Raw genomic sequence first — 16,840 nt, forward strand, 5'->3', positions numbered from 1 at the left:
AGGAGAGCTAAAAAGATCAGAATAAATAAGTCATACTGAAAAATATTTGACTGCTACAAAGTACTAAATTTGTGCTTAATAATAGTCAAACTAATTTCAAATTTGGAAACTAAGATCACAGTAACTTATAATTGAAATGTATGTATAATCCTTAAGCCTTATTTTACCCAATAGCTTCAACTTTCTGCAACACCCACTATACTACATTTCATCTAAGGATTATGGAGTGTGAACAAAATTAACTGATTTGAATTCCTTTTTTTGTTTTTGTTTTTATTTTTTATTATACTTTAACTTCTAGGGTACATGTGCACAACGTACAGGATTGTTACATATGTATACATGTGCCGTGTTGGTTTCCTACATCCATTAACTCGTCATTTACATTAGGTATTTCTCCTAATGCTCTCCCTCTCCTATCCACCCACCCTATGAAAGGCCCCAGTGTGTGATGTTCCCTGCCCTGTGTCCAAGTGTTCTCATTGTTCAATTTCCAACTATGAGTGAGAACATGCAGTGTTTGGTTTTCTGTCCTTGTGATAGTTTGCTGAGAATGATGGTTTCCAGCTTCATCCATGTTGCTACAAAGGACATGAACTCATCCTTTTTTATGGCTGCATAGTATTCCATGGTGTATATGTGCCACATTTTCTTAATCCAGTCTATCATTGAGGGACATTTGGGTTGGTTCCAGGTCTTTGCTATTGTGTATAGTGCCACAATAAACATACGTGTGCACGTGTCTTTATAGTGGTATGATTCATAATCCTTTGGGTATATACCCAGTAATGGGATGGCTGGGTCAAATGGTATTTCTAGTTCTAGATCCTTAAGGAATTGCCACATTGTCTTCCACAATGGTTGAACTAGTTTACAGTCCCACCAACAGTGTAAAAGTGTTCCTATTTCTCCACAACCTCTCCAGCATCTGTTGTTTCCTGACATTTTAATGATCGCCATTCTAACTGGGGCGACATGGTATCTCACTGTGGTTTTGATTTGCGTTTCTCTGATGATCAGTGATGATGAGCATTTTTTCATGTGTCTGTTGGCTGCATAAATGTCTTCTTTTGAGAAGTGTCTGTTCATATCCTTTGCCCACTTTTTGATGGGGTTGTTTGAATTTTTCTTGTAAATTTGTTTGAGTTCTTTGTAGATTCTGGATATTAGCCCTTTGTCAGATGAGTAGGTTGCAAAAATTTTCTCCCATTTTGTAGGTTGCCTGTTCACTCTGATGGTAGTTTCTTTTGCTGTGCAGAAGCTCTTTAGTTTAATTAGATCCCATTTGTCTATTTTGGCTTTTGTTGCCATTGCTTTTGGTGTTTTAGACATGAAGTCCTTGCCCATGCCTATGTCCTGAATGGTATTGCCTAGGTTTTCTTCTAGGGTTTTTATGGTTTTAGGGCTAACATTTAAGTCTTTAATCCATCTTGAGTTAATTTTAGTATAAGGTGTAAGGAAGGGATCCAGTTTCAGCTTTCTACATATGGCTAGCCAGTTTTCCCAGCACCATTTATTAAATAGGGAATCCTTTCCCCATTGCTTGTTTTTGTCAGGTTTGCCAAAGATCAGATGGTTGTAGATGTGTGGCGTTATTTCTGAGGCCTCTGTTTTGTTCCATTGATCTATATCTCTGTTTTGGTACCAGTACCATGCTGTTTTGTTTACTGTAGCCTTTTAGTATAGTTTGAAGTCAGGGTAGTGTGATGCCTCCAGCTTTGTTCTTTTGGCTTAGGATTGTCTTGGCAATGCGGGCTCCTTTTTGGTTCCATATGAACTTTAAAGTAGTTTTTTCCAATTCTGTTGAAGAAAGTCATTGGTAGCTTGATGGGGATGGCATTGAATCTATAAATTATTTTGGGCAGTATGGCCATTTTCATGATATTGATTCTTCCTATCCATGACCATGGAATGTTCTTCCATTTGTTTGTGTCCTCTTTTACTTCATTGAGCAGTGGTTTTTAGTTTTCCTTGAAGAAGTCCTTCACATCCCTTGTAAGTTGGATTCCTAGGTATTTTATTCTGTTTGAAGCAATTGTGAATGGGAGTTCACTCATGATTTGGCTTTCTGTTTGTCTATTATTGGTATATAAGAATGCTTGTGATTTTTGAACATTGATTTGGAACCTGAGACTGCTGAAGTTGCTTATCAGCTTAATGAGATTTTGGGCTGAGATGATGGTGTTTTCTAAATATGCAATCATGTCATCTGCAAACAGGGACAATTTGACTTCCTCTTTTCCTATTTGAATACCCTTTATTCAATCAGGCAATCAGAATTGCCTGATTGCCCTGGCCCGAACTTCCAACACTATGTTGAATAGTAGTGGTGAGAGAGGGCATCCCTCTCTTGTGTCAGTTTTCAAAGAGAATGCTTCCAGTTTTTGCCCATTCAGTGTGATACTGGCTGTGGGTTTGTCAGAAATAGCTCTTCTTATTTTGAGATACAATCCATCAATACCTAGTTTATTGAGAGTTTTTAGCATGAAGGGCTGTTGAATTTTATCGAAGGCCTTTTCTGCATCTATGGAGATAATCATGTGGTTTTTGTCTTTGGTTCTGCTTATGTGATGGATTACATTTATTGATTTGCATATGTTGAATCAGCCTTGCATCCCAGGGTGAAGCCAACTTGATCTTGGTGGATAAGCTTTTTGATGTGCTGCTGGATTTGGTTTGCCAGTATTTTATTGAGGATTTTTACATTGATGTTCATCAGGGATATTGGTCTAAAATTCTCTTTTTTTTGTTGTGTCTCTGCCAGGCTTTGGTATCAGGATGATGCTGGGCTCATAAAATGAGTTAGGGAGGATTCTCTCTTTTTCTATCGATTGGAATACTTTCAGAAGGAATGGTACTGGCTCCTGTTTGTACATCTGGTAGTATTCGGCTGTGGATCCATCTGGTCCTGGACTTTTTTTGGGTGGTAGGCTACTAATTATTGCCTCAATTTCAGAGCCTGCTGTTGGTCTATTCAGTGATTCAACTTCTTCCTGGCTTAGTGTTGGGAGGGTGTATGTGTCCAGGAATTTATCCATTTCTTCTAGATTTTCTAGTTTATTTGTACAGAGGTGTTTATAGTATTTTCTGATGGTAGTTTGTATTTCTGTGGGATCGGTGGTGATATCCCCTTTATCATTTTCTATTGTGTCTATTTGATTCTTCTCTCTTTTTTTCTTTATTAGTCTTGATAGCGATCTATTTTGTTGATCTTTTCAAAAAAATAGCTCCTGGATTCATTGATTTTTTTTTGAAGGGTTTTTTGTCTCTATTTCCTTCAATTCTGCTCTGATCTTAGTTATTTCTTGCCTTCTACTAGCTTTTGAATTTGTTTGCTCTTGCTTCTCTAGTTCTTTTAATTGTGATGTTAGGGTGTCAATTTTAGATCTTTCCTGCTTTCTCTTGTGGGCATTTAGTGCTATAAATTTCCCTCTACACACTGCTTTAAATGTGTCCCAGAGATTTTGGAATGTTTTGTCTTTGTTCTCATTGGTTTCAAAGAACATATTTATTTCTGCCTTCATTTCTTTATTTACCCAGTAGTCATTCAGGTGCAGGTTGTTCAGTTTCCATGTTGTTGTGCGGTATTGACTGAGTTTCTTAATCCTGAGTTCTAATTTGATTGCACTGTGATCTGAGAGACAGTTTGTTGTGATTTCTGTTCTTTTACATTAGCTGAGGAGAGCTTTACTTCCAACTATGTGGTCAATTTTGGAGTAAGTGTGATGTGGTGCTGAGAAGAGTGTGTATTCTGTTGATTTGGGGTGGAGAGTTCTGTAGATGTCTATTAGGTCCGCTTGGTGCAGAGCTGAGTTCAAGTTCTGGATATCCTTGTTAACCTTCTGTCTCATTGATCTGTCTAATATTGACAGTGAGGTGTTCAAGTCTCCCATTATTATTGTGTGGGAGTCTAAGTCTCTTTGTAGGTCTCTCAGAACTTGCTTTATGAATCTGGGTGCTCTTGTATGGGGTGCATATATATTTAGGATAGTTAGCTCTTCTTGTTGAATTGATCCCTTTACCATTATGTAATGGCCTTCTTTGTCTCTTTTGATCTTGGTTGGTTTAAAGTCTGTTTTATCAGAGACTAGGATTGCAACCCCTGCATTTTTTTGCTTTCCATTTGCTTGGTAGATCTTCCTCCATCCCTTTATTTTGAGCCTATGTGTGTCTCTGCATGTGAGATGGGTCTCCTGAATACAGCACACTGATGAGTCTTGACCCTTTATCCAATTTGCCATTCTGTGTCTTTTAATTGGGGTGTTTAGCCCATTTACATTTAAGGTTAGTATTGTTATGTGTGAATTTTAACCTGTCATTATGATGTTAGCTAGTTATTTTGCCCATTAGTTGATGCAGTTTCTTCCTAGCCTCGATGGTCTTTACAATTTGGCATGTTTTTGCAGTGGCTGGTACTGGTTATTCCTTTCCATGTTTAGTGCTTCCTTCGGAAGCTCTTGTGAGGCAGGCCTGGTGGTGACAAAATCTCTCAGCATTTGCTTGTCTGTAAAGTATTTTATTTCTCCTTCACTTTTGAAGCTTAGTTTGGCTGGTTATGAAATTCTGGGTTGAAAATTATTTTCTCTAGAATGTTGAATATTGGACCCCACTCTCTTCTGGTTTGTAGGGTTTCTGCTGAGAGATCCGCTGTTAGTCTGATGGGCGTCCCTTTGTGGGTAACCCAACCTTTATCTCTGGCTGCCTTTAACTTTTTTTCCTTCATTTCAACCTTGGTGAGTCTGACAATTATGTGTCTTGGTGTTGTTCTTCTCAAGGAGTATCTTTCTGGCATTCTCTGTATTTCCTTAATTTCAGTGTTGACCTGCTTGGTTGGGGAAGTTCTCCTGAATAATATCCTGAAGAGTGTTTTTCAGCTTGGTTCCATTCTCCTCGTCACTTTCACGTACACCAATCAAACGTAGATTTGATCTTTTCACATAGTCCCATATTTCTTGGAGGCTTTGTTCATTTCTTTTTATTCTTTTTTCTCTAAACTTCTCTTCTCACTTCATTTCATTCATTTGATCTTCCATCACTGATACCCTTTCTTCCACGTGATTGAATTGGCTACTGAAGCTTGTGCATGCATCACATATTTCTTGGACCACGGTTTTCAGCTCCACCAGGTCATTTAAGGCCTTCTCTACACTGTTTACTCTGGTTAGCCATTCATATAATCTTTTTTTCAAGGTTTTTAGCTTCCTTGTGATGGGTTCAAACATTCTCCTTTAGCTGGGGGAAGTTTGTTATTACCGACTTTCTGAAGCCTACTTCTGGGAATTCATCAAAGTCATTCTCTGTCCTACTTTGTTCCGTTGCTGGTGAGGAGCTGTGATCCTTTGGAGGGGAGGGGTGCTCTGCATTTTAGGATTTTCAGCTTTTCTGCTCTGGTTTCTCCCCATCTTTGTGGTTTTATCTACCTTTGGTCTTTGATGATGGTGACCTACAGATGGACTTTTGGTGTGGATATCCTTTTTGTTGATGTTGATGCTATTCCTTTCTGTTTGTTAGTTTTCCTTCTAACAGTCAGGACCCTCAGCTGCAGGTCTGTTGGAGTTTGCTGGAGGTCCACTCCAGACCATGTTTGCCTGGGTATCACCAGTGGAGGCTGCAGAATAGGAAATATTGTTGCCTGATCCTTCCTCTGGAAGCTTCGTCTCAGAGAGGCACCCAGTTGTATGAGGTGTGAGTCAGCCCCTACTGGCAGGTGTCTCCCAGTTAGGCTACACGGGGGTCGGTGACCCACTTGAGGAGGCAGTCCGTCCGTTCTCAGAGCTCAAACTCTATGCTGGGAGAACCACTGCTCTCTTCATAACTGTCAGACAAGGACGTTTAAGTCTGCAGAGGTTTCTGCTGCATTTTTTTCAGCTATGCCCTGCCCCCAGAGGTGGAGTCTACAGAGGCAGGCAGGCCTCGTTGAGCTGAGGTGAGCTCCACCCAGTTCGAGCTTCCTGGTGGCTTTGTTTACCTACTCAAGCCTCAGCAATGGCAGATGCCCCTCCCCCAACCCCGGCTGCTGCCTGCAGTTCAATCTTGGATTGCTGCACTAGCAGTGAGCAGGCTCTGGGTGTGGGACCCCCCACCCCGGGCCAGGCATGGGATATAATCTCCTGGTGTGCCATTTGCTAAGACCATTGGAAAAGCACAGTATTAGGGTGGGAGTGTCCAGATTTTCCAGGTACCATCTGTCACAGCTTCCCTTGGCTAGGAAAGGGAAATCCCTGACCCCTTGCACTTCCTGGATGAGGTGACACCCCACCCTGCTTCACCTCACCCTCAGTGGGCTTCACCCACTGTGCAACCAGTCCCAGTGAGAAGAACCAGGTACCTCAGTTGGAAATGCAGAAATCACCCACCTTCTGTGTCGATCATACTGGGAGCTGCAGACTGGAGCTGTTCCTATTCAGCCATCTTGGAACCCAAAGCGTGACTTAACTGATTTGAATTTCATCTCCTTTTAATGCTCTGCTCACTCTTTGGAAATGATGTAAATAAAGGTAGTATGAGAAAGAAGAAACAAAGAGACTTGAAGAGATGACAATCTAGATCACCTGCCTCTGAATAAACAAGAATTGGAGGCATTGCATATGCATATGTATGTATTTTAATGTAAGAAGAAAGTCACAACAATGACTACATAACTAATCCAGAGAAAGCTAAGTGGGTATCAGTAAGATACTTCTTAAAATGCAAGGAACTGCTACTTTCCAGGTGCAGTCTGGTTTATCTTAAGAGTGAGTCAGGAAAGGATGGTAACCAAGCATAATGAGGTACTTTGAAATGTTTGTTGAAACTAGATGTGGCTTACCTATCCTGTTCCTTTAAGCTCATGTAGGAATCTGGATTAATGAACACACACAGAGTTTCATAGTTCACAGAAACTAAGTAAGGAAAGAAGCAAAGTATACCAGTAGCTGTTAGCCAGAGTATGTATACATGAAAATACTATTTCAGAAATATTGTTTCTTCATGTGTTAAGAAGTCTAACTTTCCCTTTGTGCCTTCTCTCAGGAAGGCATTGGTTTCCAAAGACATGCAGGGAGATTCTGTCTTATTCCGGTTTATGAGCAGTGTTTTTTAAATGCCCTGATGAGGATATGAATCACATTCTTTATACCATCATAATCTAGCAACAAAACTTGGCATAGAATTCTTCTTCTTGGGCTTAAAATACCACTCATAACTGTTTTTGCTGAAAATTAAAAGGGAACTTTTTATCTCATATTTGAAACATAAGTCACAAGAATGACTAACATTTATGCTTTAAATTATTAATCCTAGTTTTCAGAATTTTATTATTATAAAGATCACTGTACTTTAAGTGATAAGATATTAAACTTACTCTGTGTCGAGCATGAGGAATCTCAATGTACTTTGCTAGGAAGAAAGCTACAGCTGAATTCTAACCAAAAGCAACCTCAACTTTATAAGTACTTCCTTTGAAATATTAGACACTAGGCCTTCATGTGTCAATTCATGTGAGTAGTGACTACTTTCTTTCTGGGGCGTAATCAGCTTCTATTTCCTGGATAACCTAGGGCAATAAATAAAATGTTCTTGCTATGGAAAAAGCTACAAATGAGACTACATTGTTCAATCTTCAAATTCCTCCAGAGACTCAAACTGGATATGGGAAGAAAACGTATTTTTTTCTTTGATCTTTTATTAGGTTCTATATCACTCTATCTCTTTTTCTTATTTTTCTTTAGTAGTTTTCCCCCTTTTATCTTTAAACATAAACCCCTCTATCTTCTCTACATTTATTTGAGCTACCTCGTATGCAATACTTTAAACACATGCGTGAGAATTCCTCTCTGAATTTTGAATTCTTGAATCCTATCCAACTTATATTTTGTCCCAAGGAGATATTACAGTCTACTCACTCTCTTTGGTACCCCGCCCTTCCAAAGGACGGTCAGGATCCTCCTGAATAGATCATACACTTTTGGTCTGAAGTTTGTATGCATACTCTATCTGATTATACTTCCCTGAAATATACCGTGGGGCATTTTCTAGAGGGCATCTGTCCTACATGATAAAGCATGTTATGCGTAGTCCAGGCACCCTGCTGATATTCACTAAGAATAATAATTTCATGGGAATTTTCTAGTCTAGGAAAATCATAATTTGCTTTTTAATAAAAACTCTCCCTCAGGTTTTCTTGACACATGTGTCAAAGGTAAAAATACTTTAGGTAAACAGAGCCCGACATCCCGCACCCCCAGCTTTGGGGTGAAAGGGGTTAAACAAGGGCAGCTGCAAATCTATGCCTAACCAATAGGGGGAGTTGCCAGAATATATTTTATAAGGGGACATATTTCTTTCAGGAATTACTTTCTGAAGCATTACTTCTCCCCCATGTGGTGAAAGGTTTAACTTTCATTTCTAATTCCCGCATCCTCTATTAGAGGAGATAATATAAAAGTTATGACTTAGGATTCTTTTTTTTTATTGAAGATCCACTTTTTAAAAATAAAGATATATTATTTCTCAATTTAGAATACATTTAAAACCAAACAAGCTAACATATATCCCCATGGCCATTCCACTCTAAAACTTTTAATTTTCTTATTTATCCATTTAACAAACATTTACTGAACACAACTCCATCTCAGGTAGTTGGCTAGGCTCTGTGGAGGATGAACAGGCCAATGAGATGCAATTTCTGTCTTCAAGAAGCTAATAATTTAGCAGGAAATACAAATACCTTCATGACTACTGTTAACACAACATGATTGAATACTGGAGTAAGGACCATAAAAAGTGTTTGGGAGAATACAGGAGGAAATAGTGAATTATGCCTGCGGTGGTTGGGGATATATCATATATCTCCACAAGAAACCTCACAAAATAGAAAAATTCAGACTTGTTTTTCTAGAAAACTTGTCACAGGAATAAAAATTCTCCCACAGAATTCCATAGGAAGAAAATGTGCATCAGGATATTTGATGAATCTCATATATATTGCTTTATTAAAAAAAAACCCTGCTAACCTGTTGAACACAGAAAATGAAAAAAAATGAAAAAGGCTAACTCATTTGAGAGTGAATGATCATCAGCCGATGTAGTTTTCCTTAACATCTGTACATTCCCAGAGAATAAAGCCATGAGAAATAAATGCTGCTATTGAAGAAAGGTGATTCTAAAGCAGAGGTTTCTGAAACTTGTCTATAACATTCAACAAATGATTTGTCTGTAACTTATCTATAAAACAGACAATTCAATGATTAGCAAATGTGTGATAAATATTATAAAAACAACACTGTAGCCTATCTACACTCCTTCATAGTTCCTGCTTTAGAGATGAGTAACGTCCCCTTGCCAATATCCCTCTTCTAAGAATATGCAACTTTTTAAAAGGGAGACATACATATCCAAATAACCACAATAAAGTCAGGCTATAATAAAGTGTGGAGTGGGGGAAATGGGGTGTCATTGCTAATCAGCAGGGGATTTCCTTTGGTGTGATGGAAATATTCTAGAATTAGATTGTAATTATGGTTGCACCACTGTGTGTATACTAAATATGATAGAATTGACCACTTTAAATGGGTGAATTGTATAGTATGTGAATTAAATCTCAGTAAAAAAATCAGGCTGTGATAAGCACTGTGTTTGTCTTATAAATGAAGCACGGTGGGCATTTGTGAAAAGAGATTAATTCTGACTGGGGTATATGAGACTTCTAGAGGGAGGTAAAATTTGAGCTGGGACTTGAAAGATGAAAACTCTGGTAAGCAAATACTAGGAATGAAGTTGGGAAGAAAGGGCAGTCCAGGAAAGGAAATGGCTTGATGAAAGGCATTGATATAGGAAAGTTAATGGCAGTGTTATACAAATTGTGGTCCGTGGAATGATGCTTGTCTGCAAACCATTTGTTATTGGTTGTTGATCACATAAGTATAAAAACTGAGAGTAGTTCCTTAGAAACTTATATAGTAACGTGACATTGTTGTTACATCCAAACATCATCATTTTTTCTAATAATCCATTCTTATATTTCATAAAGTATTGATTTGTGATAGATCAGAACTTAAAAAAAATGTCCTTCACCATAGTCAGTTTGAGAAACAATGGTATAAGGCATGAAAAGAGAATAACTACCCTGTGTGGTGAAAAGATGTGTGTGTGTCTGTAACACACACACACACACACACACACACACACGCAACATGAATGAGAACAGAGGTGAGGTAAGAAGGAATAAAAAACAGAGGATAAGGCTGAACTGTCGAAGAATGTAAATGTCAGATACAGATGCTGGACTTATTTCATGTACTGTGGTGGGAATCAGCTGAGAGTTTTGAATAAGAATGACACAGTCTGGTCAGGTGCAGTGGCTCACACCTGTAATCACAACACCTTGGAGGCCAAGGCAGGAGGATAGCTTGAGCCCAGGAGTTTAAGGCCAGCCTGGGCAACATAGTGAGACCCCCATCCCTACAAAAAATTAAAAGTAAAAAAACAAACCTATGGTCCCAGCTACTCGGGAGGCTGAGGCAGGAGGATCACTTGAGTACTAGAGGTGGATGCTGCAGTCAGCTGTGATTGTGCTATTGCATTCCAGCTTGGGCTACAGAACAAGACTCTGTCTCAAAAATAAAAAAAAAATAGAAAAGAAACAGATTATATTTTGAAAAGTTAAAACAGACAGTAATAGGTATCACTAATTAGAACAAGCAATATTTATAATTTATTAGAAAGGGTTAAAGGTTGGAATACTAAGAAACTACTCTTGGACAGTGAGAAAGTGGAAAGGAGGGGCACAAGGAAAAATAGGAGCTTGCTAATCTTTCCTACATAAGCACTAAGAAAATTAGACTATATAAAACATCAATAAGCAGTTGACTGGATTCTAAGAATATGGATGACTTCCCCCCTCCTTTTGTGGTTTTATTTTCTAAATTTTCTTAACTGGTCATATGTCAACTTTACACACACACACACACGCACACACACACACACACAGTAATCTTTAAAGAGAAGACTATTACATTTCTTACTGACTATCCTATTAGTCAAGCTGCATTTTCTTACCATTGACCTCGACTAATTTACTGTAATTTCTCATTCTTAAAATAGTGGGGAGTATTTTTTCTATCTATGAGCCACAACAATAACCACTGAATTCAAAAATTTTATAAAAAGAATATATGTTACTATAAAACAAATTAGTTTAGAAATGTGAAATATTATGGAAGAGTAAGAATTCAATGCACTATTTCTATTTGAAGCTTCTATTAATTTGGTATATATACTTTTATGTATTTCTCAATTATTTGTAATGGTAACACAAAAATCATGTATTAATAGAAAAAAGGGGTTTTGGGCAGCAGTAGAACTCATATATGTGCAGTGTCAGACCTTAAATTCCGAAGATCTGAGAGAGGAAGATAATTCACTTTTACTCAAAGTAATGGAGTCCAGACCTGACTTCTCTAGCATTATGACCTGGCACAAGTATATTTAATCTTCTTGGGCTCCATTCCTAAGCTGTAATATAACAGAATAGAACTTGATAAATTCAGTTCCATTCAGCTCTAAGATTCTATAACTCAAAAGGATTAATGCAGATCTTTTTCCAGAAATATTTTTTTTTCTTTATTTCTTCTAAAAAAAGAAAGGGTGGGGGGATACATGTGCAGAGCGTGAGGGTTTGTTACATAGGTATTTGTGTGCCATGCTGGTTTGCTGCACCTATTGACCTGTCCTCTAAGTTCTCTCTCCTCATCCCCCACCCCACAGCAGGTCCTGGTGTGTGTTATTCCACTTTCTGTGTCAATGTGTTCTCATTGTTCAAGTCCCACTTATGTGAGAACATGCGGTGTTTGGTTTTCTATTCGTGTTTGCTGAGGATGAAAGGAAATTTTTGTTTGGAACCCCAATCACTAAAATTGGTTTCCCAATCGATAAACCAAACTAAGTAGAATTTCAATAATAAACTGTTGTAATAGCCCCCACTCAACTCAGAGTGATATTCATATGTTTAAAAAAACAGTTAACTTTTCTGCAATATTCCACTGAATTATAATAATGCTTGCAGAAATAAAACAGTCATACTTACACATGTTGAGCTGTCGGAAGCTGGTCATATTATTTTGCTTCAAATATTTTGGAAAGTCTTTGGCAAAGGTTTGTTCATTCATAATATGAAAGCTCTGACCATACTAGAAATAAGGGAACACCAAACAATGGTCTTGAAATGTTGCAATGAAGTTTCAACAAAGCAACAATTCAACAACAATGCATCAGAAGCCATAAACTTCAAAGACTTGTGCAAATGTATAGCCAAAAATTGTTATCAAAATACTCTCCTATAGAGACAGAATTTGCCACAGAGAAAAACCATTAAAAAATGTAATGGATTTGACCACAAAAAAAACCTATGTACATGAATACCATAAATTAAAAAATAAAATATAAACAAAATTAAAAGGTAAAATACAAAATGGGGAAATATTTTCAACACATATAACAAAGAACTACTATTGTTAGCATGCAATAAGCTCTTATAAATTACTAAAAGACAAAAACTCCATTAGAAAAAAAAAATGGACAAAGACATAGAGAGGCAATTCAAATAATCAGCCAGTTAAGGTTTGGGAAAACGTGGTCAAAATGCAAGTTGTAACAGCAATGAGCTATAATCCTTTGCATATCAAATTGGCAAAGATTGAAAACAATGTTAATCTCCAGTGTTGGCACATTGGTGAGAGTTCAAATAAACAGGCAACCACACTCTAGTGGTGGGAATTTAACATCTCTAACAATATTTATATAAAACCTTAAGATATTCAATCTTTGGCTTAGAAACCTCATTTCAAGTATGTATGGGGACTAATTATGGATATGTGTCAAGATTCAGCTATAAGCTATTACTTACTTAAATAGTTGTATGTAATATGAAAAACTGGAAACAACCTAAATACTATAAAATTAGTTGCATGAAAAATACTATAAAATTAGTTGCATGAAAAATTAAGCTGTATAAGAATGCTAATGAATGTCAATATTCATAATATATTTTAAGTAAAAAAAGAAACTTTCCAGGTAGTATAAAATAAAATAAATTATTTTATAAATAAAAATACCCACATTCACAAAGTAATAGGACACAAAATGTTGACAGTGGTTATCACTAGATGATAATATAAACATTAATATTTTTTGCTTACTTCGATTTTCTAAATTTTCTACAACAAGCATATAATACTGTGATAAAAACCTATTTTAAAAGTAGGCAAAGTGATTATATACACACATATGGTACATATTGCTCATTCTCTTAAATTATAAATTTAATATATTTGAAATTATAATGAAATAAAATGACAAATATTATGTTGTGTAAATTTCATTGTCCACTTGAATTAAGATTAAAAAAAAACAGCTTATCTGTCACTTCTCCATATTACCTAACATAACATTTAGTTATGTCTTTACAGGTTAAATGGATCATCATAATCCCAAAAGGCACCAGAGGACAAATCCAGGATTTTTTAAATTTCATTAGTTTTGGGGGTACAGGTGGTTTTTGGTTACATGAATGAGTTCTTTAGTGGTGAATGCTGAAATTTTACTATACCCGTCATCTGAGAAGCACACACTATGCCCGATATATAGTCTTTCATCCCATATCCCCTTTCCAAACTCCACCCCTACGAGGCTCCAAAGTCCAGTATATCACTCTGTATGTCTTTGCATCCTCATAGCTTAGCTCCCACTTATAAGTGAGAATATACAGTATTTGGTTTTCCATTTCTGAGTTACTTCACTTAGAATAATGGCCTTCAGCTCCATCCAAGTTGTTGCAAATGACATTATTCCATTCCTTTTTATGGCTGAGTAGTATTTCATGGTGTATATACACTACATTTTCTTTATCCACTCCTTGGTTGATAGGCACTTAGGTTGGTTCTATATCTTTGCCATTGTGAATTGTGCTGCTATAAACATGCGTGTACATATGTCTTTTTCACGTGTAATGACTTATTTTTCTTTGGGTAGATACCTAGTTGTGGGATTGCTGGATCGAAAGATAATTCTGCTTTAATTTTTAAAGGAATCTCCATAGTGTTTTCTATAGTAGTTGTACAAACTTACATTCCCACCAGCAGTGTAAAAGTGTTTTATTTTCACCACATCCACACCAACATCTATTGTTTTTTTGACTTTTTAATTATGGCCATTCTTGCAGGAGTGAAGTGGTATCACACTGTGGTTTTGAATTGTATTTCCCTGATGATTAGTGATGTTGAGTATTTTTTTCATATGTTTGTTGGCTGCTTGTTTATCTTCTTTTGACAAATGTCTATTCATGTTCTTTGCCCACTTTTGGGTGGGATTTTTTGTTGTTGTTGTTGCTGGTTTGTTTGAGTTCCTTGTAGATTCTGTTTTTTTTTTTTTTTTTTTTTTTTTTTTTTTTTTTTTTTTTTCAGATGCATACTTTCTGAATATTTTCTCCCACTCTGTGGGTTGTCCCACTCTCTGGGTTGTATACTCTTTTGATTACTTCTTTTCCTGTGCAGAAGCTTTGTAGTTTAATTAGGTCCCAATTATTTATTTTTGTTTTTGTTGCATTTGCTTTTGATATCTTAGTCATTAATTATTTGCCTAAGGCAATGTCTAGAATAATTTTTCCAATGTAATCTTCTAGAATTTTTGTGGTTTCATGTCTTAGATTTAAGTCTTTGATCCATCTTGAGTTGATTTTTGTGTAAGGTGAGAGATGAAGATATAGTTTCATTCTTCTACTTGTGGCTTGCCAGTTTTCCCAGCACCGTTTTTTAACTGTGTACAGAAAAGTTGTTGCCAAATACATATATATCTATTTTCAAGATGATTAAATGATGGAAAAATCCTCATGACTCTTAAATTGAAGTTTGTGTATAGATGTGATGTAAAATGAGTACAATGTTATAGGGACAACTTACTTTGGCAGTAATTCAGTACAGAGAAAGCTAGAATACAGAGCAGAAAAAAGAGTGGCCTGGCAACAAGGAGACCATGGTTGCTTCTAATGCTAGACCAACTCCTTTCTTTTTCTGGGGGCTCAGTTCCCTTCCAGGTACAAAGGGTTTGTGACCACTAGGTAATCTGAAGGCTGCTCTTTTGAGGCCACTCCTTCTACCTTTTGGTAAGCTTTATATAATCCTTTTGGAGTTGTGGTATCTTTATCTCTTCATAAAATTAAGTCTCTAATGAACTTTTTCATTCACTCTCAGCACAGTGACGCATATGTAGTAGTCACTCAATACGTGTTTGTTAACTGCTGCTTTTGTTAGTATTTAGCTCTCACAAAGCTCATTTTGATGTCTAAACTCTTTGGTCTGTAGATAGGCAAACTGTCTTCTCTTTGGTCCTTACTGGATACATCAGCCTATTCTATTCATGTCAAACATGACACTTCTTTTAAAATTACCTTATGGATTCTGTTTTACTGTCTATACTTTCATCATCTTGACCTTTTTGTAGAGATCTTCTCTACTTGTATTTATTTTAGAATAAACAAGTGTTTATATTAGTATCTTAATTGGTTTGGTCACCACTGAGTCCCTTAATTGGGGATTACTCATGTCAGTCCATCTACTGTAGAGGTGCTCCAGGCATCTCTCTGGGGTCTATTCCCTCATCTCTGAGTTAAGTTAGAGCAGGACTTGCAATTGGAGGATGATTAACAAGATGACCTAATAGCCCTGGTTCAGACTTGGCTAGAAAATTCCCAAGTTTCACATGTACCACTCATGTTTCATTGATTTTTATTTTCAAAAGCAATAACTAAAAAATACAAATGCAGTCAATAAATATTTGTAGAAATTTTTATACAGTTGATCATTTGCATTAAGAATCACGTTTAGAATAGTCTGAATTTTCTCAAGGACTTAATGATCATATCTTTGGTGGGAGATGACAACCACCCCGCACTCCCTTACACACATACACTGGGTTTCTGGGGCAAGAAAATTGACTGATTACTCATTGTCTAGAAGTGCAATATTGTCAATGCTTGAGACTACCAAGAACATTCAGTAAAACTTGTTTGCAATACTGTTGACTATTGAGAAGGGAGAGTATGTTAGTTTTCTAAGGATGCTGTAACAAATTTCCACAAACTGTGTGACTTAAAATAACATAAATTTATTCTTCACAGTTCTGGAGGTTAGAAGTGTGAAATCAAGGTGTCAACATGCCCTCTTTGAAGGCTTTAGGAAATAGTCCTTATTCATCTCTGCTAGCTTCTGGGGGCTGTTGGCAATTCTTTCTAATATCTGGCTTTTAGATGCATCATCACTTCAATCTCTGCCTCTGACTTCACATTGCATTTTTTCCTATGTGTCAGTGTCTCTGTGTCTGGGTTAGGGCTACCAGTCATTGGGTTAGGGCCTACTCTAATCCAGTATTACCTTAATTTACTTTATCATGTCTGCAAAAACTCTATTTTCAAATAAGGTCATATTCACAGGTTCTAGGGAGATATGAATTTATTGGAACACTAGTCAAACCAATACAGACAGCTTAGTATATTGTGAAGTTGAATTAAGTAGAATGCAAGGATATTGTTGCTGGGAAAATACAGCTGGGTGACTATCAGTGAGTCACTTAACCTTTCTTGAGAAATAATACCTTCTGTCAAGATTAGTTATCTGTAGCCATTCATTGGCCTTAAAATATTCGAATGGAACTGTAGAATTGGCTTAATTTTTTGGACATGACTTGATAGTGTAGGCCCTTTTAACCTGTTTGTGTATAGTAGTATTACAAATGGAAACACAGCCTTCCCCTTTCAAGTGTGTTAGCCATGTATTGGGTTGATAACAGACCTAAACCCCAGCCTTTCACC

The sequence above is a fragment of the Homo sapiens genome, chromosome X, assembly GCF_000001405.40.
Source record: "Homo sapiens chromosome X, GRCh38.p14 Primary Assembly".
NCBI lineage: Eukaryota > Metazoa > Chordata > Mammalia > Primates > Hominidae > Homo > Homo sapiens.